Genomic DNA, 14,019 nt, shown 5'->3' with positions numbered 1-14,019 from the left:
AGAGTTTTAGTAGTATGTAAAAAAACTGACTCATATTTTTTTATTTTCTCATTTTATCTCCTGATTATGTAAATATATTATTCTATGACTTTGATGTTTTTTGGTATACTTCTTTTGTATTCCTTAGCACATTCTTTTATTCTGCAATATTTGAGGATTACTACTCTCTCTGTTTCTCACTTACGGTATTGTTTTCCCCCACAAACTTCCACTCTGAGCTGTTCTCCAGGAGGCTTTTTCAGTAGTTATCCTGTGCCCTGAGCAATTTTGTGTTTGATTCTGCCAGGCACTTCAAGGCTAGTGGTCCAGGATTCAGTTTTATGATTTTTCCTGAGTTTGGAGGTTTTGGAACTACTACACATAGGGTCATTTAAAAAACAATATGTTTGTAAAGTATAGAGCATGGATATGAATTAGAATAGATTTTTTCTTTTGCTTTTCATCAGGTCTTATGAGAGGCCAACAAGCAAATTTCCTATATCGCTTATTTGCACTATTTTTCACTTATTAACAGCTCTTTAAATTTCTCCATATTTTGTTCAGGCTGCTCAGATCCAACTCTCTGAATTTCACAGGTCAAGGCCTTACCTCCTGACACCACATGACCAAGCTAACAGGTTAATGTGGTAACAAACGCCGACAACCCACCCTCCCCTGCTCCCCTCCGATCATCAACTGTTTTCACAAACATTGCCTAAAGAGCTCTTGTCCTTGTTTTCAATTCCTTCTGCATTTCCTGCACCTGGTGTTTTATTTATTTACTTCATTCTAATCTCAGCTTTCAATGTGTAAACATGTGGTATATGATTTTCTTAAATGTTAGTGCTTGGAAAGCCTGCAATTTACCATATTCTTAAAATATGAAGTCAAATGACTCATTATTTAACTACTTTTAGTGAAGAATATTAACATGTGGAAGGGATACTTATTCTGATAAAGAAAAACAAAAGATTAAAAAACAGAATCTATTATTTTGCAACTTAAGCAAAGTAACAGTTATATTCTCTCAGGTCCTTAAAGTAGAAAGAAGCCTCTAGGCAAACTTGATTATGGAAAAAAAAAGTCAATAGCAGCATACAACATTAAAATTTGCTTCTTGAATGCAGAGAAAATCTTACATAGAGAGAATTATCTTAATCGATACATTCAATATTATTTAAAAGATAAGATCATAAAGCAGTGAATTGGTTTTTATTTTGAAGAACAAAAACAGGAAAAAAATACCACGCTTTAAAACAATGTATTGGCTCAGTACCTTGGTCAAATTAGTCTCCTTGTGCCTTAGTGTCCTCAATTTTAAATTCAGGATGAGGATTGCATGTTCTTGGTAGGCTTTCACTTTAAAATAAGAAGTCTCAGCAACAGAACTTTCAACTACAGACCTTGAATGACTTCATGACTGCCTACCTATGTTTTGAGGATTGAAGTTTTTTAACTAACACAACTAGAACAGTGTTTGACACATAGTAAGCACAAAAGAATACTTTTTTTAAACAAAAAAACCATGAGATCTTTGGAGGAAGAAAAAGGAGAGCTTTATTTCCTATAAACGGTTACAACCTGTAGGTTGAAAAATGAAGCCTCTGGCCAAAACCTAAAGCAGAGGCTTTTGAGACAAAAGGAGGAAGCCTAGGATTTACACCCAATGGAGTTAGCTATACATACCTATTCAGCAGATTATGAGAGAATCTTTGAATATTTGAGAGAGAAACCAAACATATGATGAGTGTATAAACCTTCATGATTTCTACGTCCCATATTTATTTTAGAGTACAAATTTAACATTAAAATAAAGTGAAACTTGGCTCTTTGTGTCAAAAGGTGAATAACAGGACACAAAGGCATCTTGCACGCAGCCTCCGTGGACTGGCCAGAACCAGCCTGTGCTTGGCGGTCAGCTATCAGGGTGGAATGCCTTGTGAGGCTTGTCAGCTGTCACAGCAAAACTGTGAGAAGGGAGGGGAGGTCGGCCCCGGCATCAGGTGGTGTGTGGAGAAATCTTCCAGACACTGTTTTTCAGGAACTAGTTTCTGTTTAATAGTAGAAAACACAGTCCTGAAATGGTTGTTGAGGTAGGGGAGTGTTGAGATGGGACTGACCTCTTACCTTATCAAAGCTGGGAAATTTCATTTTTCTAGGTTTTGGGGGGGTCTTTTCTGCCACAAAGAGTCCTTTAATTCTGTCTGGGGGGCTTAGGACTCTATTTTTATTTCACATTTGCTATTGTTGTTATTATTATCTATTTTGGTTATCTATAGCTGCAGAAGAAACAACACTAAGCTTATTTCCATTAAACGAGAAACACCTATTTCGATAAATATGTTTAGCGAAACAATAACTATTTGTTATACCTATGGATTCTTGAGGTCAGGAATCCATACAGAACATTACCGATATGGCTCGTCTCTGCTTTTCTGCATCAGAGGCTTCGCTTTAAAAAGACTCAGCATCTGGCTTTGACTAGAAAGTTTAGAGTCTGCAATTATTCACGGGTTTCTTCAATTACATAACTGGAATATGGGGATCACTTAAAGGCTGAAAGAGCTGGATCTGCCAATGAGAGCAAATACATAAGGCCTTTTCATGAGTTTCACAGCACGGCGACTGGGTTCTGTGAGGCAGCATCCCAAAAAGAGCTTCTGCAGACTGAGCCCTCCAAGATGCCAAAGTGGAAGCAAGGCTTCCTCTGACCTGGTCAATTCAACCATGGTCAAGGATTGTCCTTTCTTTTGATAGGCAAGGCTTTTTATCTTTCTAATCTTGATCATTGTGTATTGATTTCATAGTTTAACTCTTCAACTTACTTAAAAGTTATAGTGTATGCGGTAAGATCCTGCTGCTCTCCCATGTTATCCCCATGTGTCAATGCATTCCAGACCATTATAATTATAACAGATATTTATACTTTTTATCTATTTATTTATTTTTTTGAGACGGAGTCTTCACTGTGTCGCCCAGGCTGGGGAGCAGTGGCGCGATCTCGGCTCACTGCAAACTCCACCCCCAGGGTTCACGCCATTCTCCTGCCTCAGCCTCCCAAGTAGCTGGGACTACAGGGGACCGCCACCAGACCCCGCTAATTTTTTGTATTTTTTTAGTAGAGACGATGTTTCACCATGTTAGCCAGGATGGTCTCCATCTCCTGACCTCGTGATCTGCCTGCCTTGGCCTCCCAAAGTGCTGGTATTACAGGCGTGAGCCACCGCGCCCGGCCCCTAACATTTCTACTTTTAAAAGCTCTCACTTGTGGGTTATATTAAGAACAAAATTTTTGAAGAATTTTTTCATTCATATTTTGAAAAATAAATTTTTCACTTCTTCCAGAGTATAATCTCTAAAACTGCTACTGCAATTACTTTCTAGATCTCACCATTGCATTTTCCTGTCTCCTATAAATACAGAGCACAATTAGAACAAAGTGAATTTTTGTCAGAAGAGAATGCTTTTTCCTGCACTCTATCTAAAATATCTTTCTCATTAGGCAAAGCCAATGGTTCATGGTGACTTCCTGGGACACATGGCTATCCTCACATTGACTGTAGGTTTCTAGTTAACCTGTTTGTGCAGTCTTTGCAGAAGATTCATGTACTTGACATTTACTGAGCTCCTAACATGGGCCAGGCATAATCCAAGTGGAAAATACAGATAGAAAAATGTAAGACATAACAATAAGTATATGATTTCATGATAAATATTAAATATTAAAATGTGATTTAACGTATTTAACAAATATTGCTTGAACACTATTTGCTACTCAGCAGGCTGGGTAATTATATTCTGCAAGAAGTGTTCCTGTTTATATAGGTAGCATCAAATTTTCTTCAGTTTAATTATGATACATTTCCTTTCTAATTTGATAGATAATTATTGATTGCTTGCTTCACATTTAATAATTTATGTGCTCTTTTACTTAAACACATAGTAAGTCAAAAAGCAAGCTTAAAATCCAGCAGGAACACTTTATAAATTGAGGGATGAGTCATAAAGAACTCAGACCTTTGTTATTTCAAATAAGAGGCTATGTCACAAGGATATCATAGAAAGACTTGAAGAAAAATAATTGAAAATCTGTATGTGTAAAACTTTCTTCATTAAGTCTTCACAATAAAATTTTGCAATAGTATTTTCATTCATTTAATTTTGAGATTGTTAGTAAAGTATTCACCCACATAATAAAACGTTGAAGCAAGAGTATGCTGTCTTCATAAATGGACAGACAAAAGGAGTAGTGTAGAAAGTCCACAGCACTAATAAATAGAACTGATTATATATAAACATATAGAATATTATACAGCAGATGTGTCACATCACTGGAGATTTCAGTGGTTAATTAGAAAATAATATAGGAAACATTTTCTATTTGGAAAAAAATAAGGTTGGGTCCCTGCCACATATGTCGCAAAATAAATTTCAGATGTATTAAAATTTCAAATGTCATAAAATTATGCCATATATGTACTAGAAGATAATAAGGACTATCTTGAAATAAAATCATTAATTTGGCCATCATTTTTGAAAGTCTATTACTTGATAGGGAGAAAGCCAAGTGCTGGCAATTGAAGGCCTACCTAGGTTTAATACTAGATGCAAAATAATAGATAAACATTATACATTTATCACATCAAATTTAGTAACAGTCTCCATAAATAAATGTAAATAGCAAACTGGGAAAATCTGCAAATTAATAAACAGAATGAATGCCTACAGCTTAAAATATGCATTTCCCTGCTAATAAATAAGAACTTGAATACCACAATATTAATGCTTTTAATTGGATAATTTATATCCATTTAATATTCTGCACTTTTCACAGCCTTGTATAGTATTATTGTAGATTAACCCACCCAAGTAATAGATGCTTATTGTAGAATGATGTTCTTAGTAAGTTGATTTCTTTATATCTGAATAGATATGGTTTCTTAGAAAACTTAAAATATTATTGCTAATTTCCAGAATATTTTAATTACTTTATTATAAATTAAATGATTATATGCTATGCCAACTGGAATATTATATCAACTTAGTTTCTATGAAGAATTTTAAAAAATAATCCAATCAAGTAATTTGCATACTCTTAAGTACCATAGGGGTTCAGTATCAACTGTGGAGAAGGGTAGAACCAGGACAATGGAAGGGGAAAGATAGCGAAAGATTGGCTGTGACACCTTTGCTTCTAACAAAGCAGTTCTGCTTTATGTGTTTAACATGTAAGGTGTCCTTATAATACTTCATGTAGAGAGAGGCCTCCAATACTATGAGTAGTAGCAATGGCAGTAGTAGCAGCAGTAGTAATAAATACGCCTACTGTGAAAGGCTAAAAAATGCTCCCTTCCCCCAATATCATGCCTTAATCTCTGAAATTTGTAAATGTTACCTCATCTGGAAAATGTTTCTTTGAAGATGTGATTAAGTAAAGGATACTGAGATGGGGAGATTATCCTGGTAGACCCTACATGCCATCACATGTATCCTTATAAAAAAGAGAGTTAGAAGGAGGCTTGATTTAGGGAAGGTCATGTGAAGATGGAGCAGAGAGATTTAGAGATGCTGATCTTGAAGACTGGAGTGATGCAGGCAAAAGACAAGGAGTGCCAACAACCACCATAAGCTGGAAGAGGCCTAGAACAGATTCCCCACTCCCAGAGGTCGTGCCACCTGCTGACACCTTGATTTTGGCCTAGAGACACTGATTTGGGAATTCTGGTCTTCAGAACTATAAATCATACATTTCTGTTCTTTTAAACCAAAGTGATTTTAGTAATTTGTTACAGCGGCCTCAGGAAACTAATACAACATTAACCACCAGTTTACTCCAACCATGCTCAATTTTAAAATGGGAAATTGAAATTCAATAAAATTAGAGAATCAGTCAGGGGCATAAAATCAACTAATTAGTATTAAAATTGCAGTGTATTTCAAGTCTTGAGTCTTTGGAGTTGTAGTCTAATATATTTTTTTTTATTTTGCTGTGATTTTGTATCTATACATGCATACATAAAATAAATTGAATAATTTATTATATATAAAATAAATTGAATATATATTTAATATATAAAATAAATTGAATATATATTTAATATATAAAATAAATTGAATATATATTTTCTATATATAAATTGAATGTATATATTAATATATAACATATATTGAATATATGTATTTCAATAGCTTTTGGGGTACAAGTGGTTTTTGTTTACATGGATGAGGTATATGACAATGAATTCTGAGATTTTAATGCATCTGTAATCTTTACATTGTACTCATTACATTGCGAATTATTATTAGAAATGATATTAGTAAGTAATATCATTAGTAAACTCTGCTGAAATGATTAAAGGTTTCTTTTCACCAAACAAGTAAATTTTTGCCTATTTCTTTTTGAAAGGAAATTATTATTTTTCCCACCTTTTTTCTTTAACTTACTCAAATATATAAATTGAATAGGCACTGGTGACTTAAATATAAGGAAACTAACAGAGCTTTGAGTTCATGGAACTTGCAGTTGCAACGGAGTAATTGACAATTAAACCTTTAAATGACAAAGTTATTTGCTGTGAATACAGAACTGCAGGAGATCACTACTGGAGTACATATTAACTGTACCTGAGAAAGGGCCCCAGATATGGTGACAGAACTATGAAAGAGAGAGAGAGAGAGAAACAAAGAGAGAGAAAAACAAAGAGAGAGAGAGACAGAGAGTTTTCTAACCACTTATGAAAATTCAAGGAAGGTTTCTCAGAGTAGTGACTTAAGCTGACACTGGAAAGATTAAACAAAGCAATGGGACTATGGAGAGAGAAGCATGTTTGTAGAACTTATCTGTAAGCAGCAAGGTCATGAATTCAAGAGCTGGCTATCAATATTGAAGCAGAATAGGGCTAACTGTGTACACAGTGGACACAGAAAAGAAGACAGCAGGGCTTTGTATTTTGTGAGCCAATTAAACTAGTTACAGTTTTTTCACAAGATATGTGTTGCAGGTCTGGGCTGCAGGCCAAAATTAGCCTGAACCCAGGCACAGGAAATGGTCAGATCCTTTTAGAAATTAACAGAAGAGGCCTGGTGCAGTGGTTCACACCTGTAATCCCAGCATTTGGGAGGCCGAGGCGGGCAGATCACATGAGGCCAGGAGTTCAAGAGCAGCCTGGGCAACATGGCGAAACCCTGTCTCTACTAAAAATACAAAAAGTAGTCGGGCATGGTGGTGCACCTGTAATCCCAACTACTCGGAAGCTGAGGCAGGAGAATCCTTTGAACCTAGGAGGCAGAGGTTGCAGTGAGCCGAGATAGTGCCACTGCACTCCAGCCTGGGCAACAGAGCAAGACTCCATCTCAAGAAAAAAAAAGAAAGAAAGAAAAAGAAAGAAAGAAAGAGAGAGAGAGAGAGGGAGACAAAGAAAGAAAAGAAAAGAAAGAAAGAAAGAAAGAAAGAAAGAAAGAAAGAAAGAAAGAAAGAAAGAAAGAAATGAAAGAAAGGAAAGAGAAAGAAAGAAAGAAAGACTAATTCAGTTCTTACAACAGATGGCAACTGCAAATGAAAGAAGAATATTATTTGTAGGTTAGAAATTACTGTGCTTACATTGTCTTTTTCTCTTTTCTCTCTCTCTTTTTTTTTCTTTTGCTGAAGACCAGGTTTCTGGCAGACCAAAAAATGTTGATGACCCCCCTCTCACCACTCACCACAGAGATAGTGCCTTCTATAAATTCAGCATTTTTGTAAAATAAAAAAGTGATAGTAACACGAAGAGAAATTGTAGTTACGTCTATCATCTTTAAATATCACTTTAAACTTTAAATATCTCTTTAAACTTCCACTGTTTTGAAATAGTGATTGCAGTATATTTTCTGCCCATCCTGCTAATACTTTATTTCATTGAACCACAGCCAGCACATACAGTAAATATGCATCACCTTTGTCTGTATTCTTGAGGATTCTGCTTTGTATTGTTAGTGAAAAATAACACTGAAAAGGAAGAATAAATTGTTTAAGGAGTCAATGCGATGACTCAGGCAAGTGCATATACCACTGTTTTAGAGAATAGCAAATCAGCATCCTCTCATAATCTTTGAACGTGTCTTGGAACAAATAGTTCTGCATGAGTCCATAGATTTTTATTCTCATTTTCAAAAGAATGTGTCTCTTAACTCATTCCTTATTAATATATAATTTCAGAGTGTGCTGCCTTTGAAACACAATCTGTTTATTTTTAAAAGTAGCAACCTGTTTGGAACTTCTAAAATCAAATCGTGATAGATTATAACTGTTAGTATTTTAGATTTTTAAAATTAGAGATCAATGTAAAAATGTAAAATCTGTTCCTCAGCCAAATTTGAGATCATCTGCATAGATATCATAATGGAAGACAGTTATGGATGTATGGATGGGGAAGCTTACTGAGAAAATATATCATAAGTCAATAAGAGGGTGTATAATAGCCATCAGGGATTCCTAAAATGTACTGCCCAATAGAAGACAGCAAACATAACGTGACTGAGAAGTTACATATTTGGGAAGAAACCAGGACAGTGTCACATCATCTATGCAAAGGAAGACTGCCTCAAAAGGGAAGTAGCACTCAGCAATATGGATTGTTGATAAGGGATGAAGCAAGGGACGTGTGGAAAATGTTTCCAGTTTCCTAGCATAGCTAGGGAGATGAAGGAGAAATAATAAGATCAAAGAAGATATTCTAAACATGTTAAAACCTATTTACATAAAAAAATAGGAATATGCCTATAAACATTGTCAAAAATATGCATTGGCAACACAGTACAAAATATACATGAATTTCTGGCAAATATTTAAAAACTCAGACAATTTGGCTATGTGGGAAAGGAGTGATAGAGGATTCTAAGTGGAAAAAGTAGTAAAATCCAAGAAAAAAATTATGTTTAAAGACTGATTGAAAGACTCCGGGGACAGGAAGAGTCTGCAAAAGAAAAGTAAAGAAATATTTGGTGGGTAAAGCCCCTGAGAAGGAATAGTGGGTGGTCATGCAGCACCACAGGCACTGGCCTGAGGCACCAGGAGCTGCTCCTGCCTTGAAGCAGCAGGGAAGAAGAAAAAGACGGTAGTAATTTGGACAGGTTTTGAAGGGATTTTGTGATAGGATTTCTATTTTTTTATATTTTAGGAAGCACAGCTATTTGTAGGGCTTTGTGGAAATTGGTGATTATTAGCTAATGGTTCAACCAATCTGCTTTTTCCTTTTTTTATTATTAATTTTTACTTGTATTTTAAGTGCCGTGATACATGTGCAGGATGTGCAGGTTTGTTAGAGGTAAACATGTGCCATGGCGGTTTGCTGCACCTATAAACCTGTCACCTAGGTATTAAGCCCAGCATGCATTACTTATTCTTCTCAATGCTCTCGTTCTCCCCACTCCACCCCTTACAGGCCCCCAGTGTGTGTTGTTCCCCTTCCTGTGTCCATGTGTTCTCATTGTTCAGCTCCCACTTTAAGTGAGAACATGTGGTGTTTAGTTTTCCGGTCTTACAAATGTAGTTTGTAAGCTTCCCCATCCATACATCCATAACTGTCTTCCATTATGATATCTATGCAGATGATCTCAAATTTGGCTGAGGAACAGCTTTTACATTTTTACATTGATCTCTAATTTTAAAAATCTAAAATACTAACAGTTATAATCTATCACGATTTGATTTTAGAAGTTCCAAACAGGTTGCTACTTTTAGTTTGCTGAGGATAATGGCTTCCAGCTCCATCCACGTCCCTCCAAACGACATGATCTCATTCTTTGTTATGGCTGCATAGTATTCCGTGGTGTATACATACCACATTTTCTTTATCCAGTCTATCACTGATGGGGATTTGAGTAGATTCCATGTCTTTGCTCTTGTCAATAGTGCTGCAATGAACATATGTGTGCATATATCTTTGTAATAGAATGCGAATCTGCTTTTTTCATAACCATACTCAACAACTCTCAGCTTCTGGGGAACACCCCTGGCTAAATTTGGCTCCATCTGAGTTCATTTTATTTGGTTTCATTCAGAGCTATGATTTTTGTCCAGGCAAGTGTGATGAAAAAGATAGAGGCATAAAACAACTTGAGACATTGGCAAGCATGTTCTTGAAATGATGCTCCTAAGAACTTAATCCATGTATGATTAGTGTAGAAGAACAGGCCTATCTGCTGAGAATTCAGTCACTGATATCAGTGACTGAAAGTCTCCAAAAAAGTGAATGAAGTCATAGGGCTGGCATTGAACATGTGAGCTGGAAGAAAGGAGGTTGAGATGGTGATTTTTATAGGTTCATCAATTTGAGGTGATGACAAGTTCAAGATCTGACTTTAAGGGTGGGTTGCTGTGGAGATATGAATGATGATAAAGTAATTAATAATAGGAAGAATAAAGTTTGTTGAGAGTCTATGAGGATCCAGACTCGTTTTTGGTACATTTTATCTACTTCTTTCTTTCTTTCTTTCTTTTTTTTTTTTCTTTTGAGATGAAGTTTTGCTCTTGTCCCCCAGGCTGGAGTGCAATGACGCTATCTTGGCTATCTTGGCTTGCTGCAACCTCCGCCTTCTGGGTTCAAGCGATTCTCCTGCCTCAGCCTCCCGAGTAGCTGGGATTACAGGTGCCTGCCACTATGCTGGGTTAATTTTTGTATTTTTAGTAGAGACGAGGTTTCACCATGTTGGCCAGGCTGGTCTCACACTCCTGACCTCTGGTGATCCACCCGCCTCAGCCTCCCAGAGTGCTGGGATTACAGCCGTGAGCCACCATGCCCAGCCCTACTTACTTATTTCTCTCGACAATCTTAAATTCAGAAATTATAATTATCCTTGTTTCACTTATGAGAAAATTAAGACACTGACAGTTTAGTAACTTTCTTTGGGGGTTGTGAATGAAGCTTTCTGGTTCAGAAATGGGAAGGCAGGTAGACTACACAGTCCATAGCTTTGGCTCAAACATGTATTGTCTCTTTAAAATGCCTGGCATAGGGTAGTTCTTATATGTAGATACTAAAGTCATCCAGGATGTTGACGTTTAGGGTAGAAAAGAAGACTATAATCAAAGTGCTCAACTTTTCAATAAATGAGAGAAAGGATGCAAAGTCAGATGACAATCAGCAGAAAGGGAAGAGATGGCTGAAGTGCATGGCATGAGCTGCATTAGGCAAGTCTGACTAAAAGAATAATCCGGAACATCTGGTAGATACTATGTGAATATAAGAGGAACACATCCTCAACACCTGGCATGTATATATTCTTATCCTCATATCCTTGCTATATATCTATATCTATCTATCTATCTATATGTGTATATATATATATATAGAGAGAGAGAGAGAGAGAGAGAGGAGAGATCTATCTCCCTGTATATATATAGACAGAGAGAGAGAGAGCAAGATTTGAGATAATTCCAGGAAAAAATGAAAGATCACATCTCATTTAAAACAAAAGGTAGAATAAACACAAATTAGATTGGAGATACAGGAGATGTGTTTGTTAGGAAGAAAGTGATCCAGATAGCTCTGAGGAAGAAATTGAGGGATTAGTGAAGGAAAAGGTTTGGGTAAATGGGTAAAATGCAGGAAGCATAATGTGTTATGAGAGAGGATGTCGAACAAGAAGTTTGAAGGCTAAGGTTGGTTATTCTCTGTGGAGTGATGAATGAAAACAGATCTCAGCTTTCCCTTTGAAGAGGCTGAGTACTGGCTTTAAAAACAAAAGGACTTAGGTCACATTGCTAGGGTGAAGGCAGTCTCAAAAGTTGCAGATCTCTGACTTGATTGGTAGAGACTGCCTGGAGCACCTTGTTGATAAAGTTCTAAGGTCATATCCTAACTCAGCAGGAAGGATCAGTGATTGGGTAGCTGTATCTACCAGGGACACAGAAAGAGACAGTGGAGAACACATAGTTGTGCTTGCTAACTTAGATTCAGAATTTATCTGGCAGTCACACCTTCCATAGAAGTATCCATTTAAATAATAAAATATTTAACAAAGAATCTATTTATCACATGATTTCCTAAAGAAATGTCTCTATAAAAACTATTTCACCAAGATATTGTGTTTAAAATAAGATATATAAGTTCAGGTCATAGTAGAGAATAGATAGCACCAACGAGATATATTAAAGCACCAAATGACATGTAACAGGAGGGAGTATTTTTTTTATTGCACTTTAAGTTCTAGGGTACATGTGCACAACGTGCAGGTTTGTTACATATGTATACATGTGCCATGTTGGTGTGCTGCACCCATTAACTTGTCATTTACATTGAGTATATCTCCTAATGCTTTCCCTCCCCCCTCCCCCCACCCCACGACAGGCCCCGGTGTGTGATGTTCCCCTTCCTGTGTCCAAGTGTTCTCATTGTTCAATTCCCGCCTATGAGTGAGAACATGCGGTGTTTGGTTTTTTGTTCTTGCAATAGTTTGCTGAGAATGATGGTTTCCATCTTCATCCATGTCCCTACAAAGGACATGAATGCTTCCTTTTTTATGGCTGCATACTATTCCATGGTGTATATGTGCCACATTTTCTTAATCCAGTCTATCATTGATGGACATTTGGGTTGGTTCCAAGTCTTTGTTATTGTAAATAGTGCCGCAATAAACATATGTGTGCATGTGCCTTTATAGCAGCATGATTTATAATCCTTTGGGTATATACCCAGTAATAGGATGGCTGGGTCAAATGGTATTTCTAGTTCTAGTTCCTTGAGTAATCACCACACTGTCTTCCACAATGGTTGAACTAGTTTACAGTCCCACCAACAGTGTAAAAGTGTTCCTATTTCTCCACAGCCTCTACAGCACCTGTTTTTTCCTGACTTTTTAATGATCGCCATTCTAACTGGTGTGAGATGGTATCTCATTGTGGTTTTTGATTTGCATTTCTCTGATGGCCAGTGATGATGAGCATTTTTTTGTATGTCTGTTGGCTGCATAAATGTCTTCTTTTGAGAAGTGTCTGTTCATATCCTTCGCCCAGTTTTTGATGGCGTTGTTTTTTTCTTGTAAATTTGTTTGAGTTCATTGTAGATCCTGGATATTAGCCCTTTGTCAGATGAGCAGATTGCAAAAATTTTCTCCCATTCTGTAGGTTGCCTGTTCACTCTGATGGTAGTTTCTTTTGCTGTGCAGAAGCTCTTTAGTTTAATTAGATCCCATTTGTCAATTTTGGCTTTTGTATTAATGCTACTAAAATTGAAGGTGCAAGGCAGTGAAAAAGTGTTACCAGGATCTAGAGAATTTGACTGCATGACTCTAGCTGTAGCAACAGAAATAACAAAATGGCTGATAAAACAGTGTCCCAACAAGAAGAAAGCTGTAGAATAAACACCCTAATCTTTCTCTACCACAGTCCTCTCAATTGTTGCTAATGCATTCCTTTGGAAGCTAGAGAGCATGGGACCCTGCTAAGGTCATGCATCAATGGCAGCCTCCTGGAGCAAAGGCATAAGGTACAGAAGGATCTAGGAGGCTAACCATTAAAATTTTCCCCAAGAAAGATGATGTCATCACACTCAGGGCTGCCACACATGGTTGTGTCCATTGTGCAGTGCACAACCCCAAGAGGCACCATCCACATAAGCAGCAGTATTGTATGCCCATTCTGCCTGTCTTGCAGGTATGACTGTGATTTATCAAACTTTGAAAGCATAATCAGATTATAATTTGTCTTTTTCACATAATAGCTAAACTTCAAATAGAAGAATTCAAGGCTATCATGATAGTGGACTATTCATGTCCATTAATTGGGAACCAGCTGTGGCACAGGGTAGCCTTACATAAGTGCCTATTTATTTTCTGTTTTTTGTTTGTATATTAGTAACACACGATTTAATGTAACTCACAACTGGAACTCTTATCACATCAATAAATATTTTATTATAATATACATTTAATAAAATATATTGTAATATTTTATTATAATAGCAATAATATTTTATTATCTAACACTATGTAAAACAGACCAAAAAAAGTTCTCAATGCAGTTCTAGCCTTGTGAATTTAGTAAAGATGTTGGACAACACCGAA

At 36.5% G+C, this 14,019-nt stretch overlaps 1 long non-coding RNA gene across 1 annotated transcript in view, besides 1 other annotated feature; it reads right to left on the bottom strand.

Annotated features, from left to right (window-relative positions):
* Positions 1–14,019, bottom strand: part of LINC02267 (long intergenic non-protein coding RNA 2267) — a 507,713-nt gene that overhangs the window by 217,839 nt on the left and 275,855 nt on the right. The window lies entirely within an intron of this gene.
* Positions 8,472–8,672: a silencer, noted in NCBI's record as "peak5080 fragment used in MPRA reporter construct". NCBI's record gives its function as "represses an SCP1 promoter by STARR-seq MPRAs in K562 erythroleukemia cells {active_cell/tissue: K562}" and the evidence as "EXISTENCE:reporter gene assay evidence [ECO:0000049][PMID:32103011]".

The sequence above is a fragment of the Homo sapiens genome, chromosome 4 (genome assembly GCF_000001405.40).
Source record: "Homo sapiens chromosome 4, GRCh38.p14 Primary Assembly".
Lineage (NCBI taxonomy): Eukaryota > Metazoa > Chordata > Mammalia > Primates > Hominidae > Homo > Homo sapiens.
This window is presented reverse-complemented; position numbering and strand designations above follow the sequence as displayed.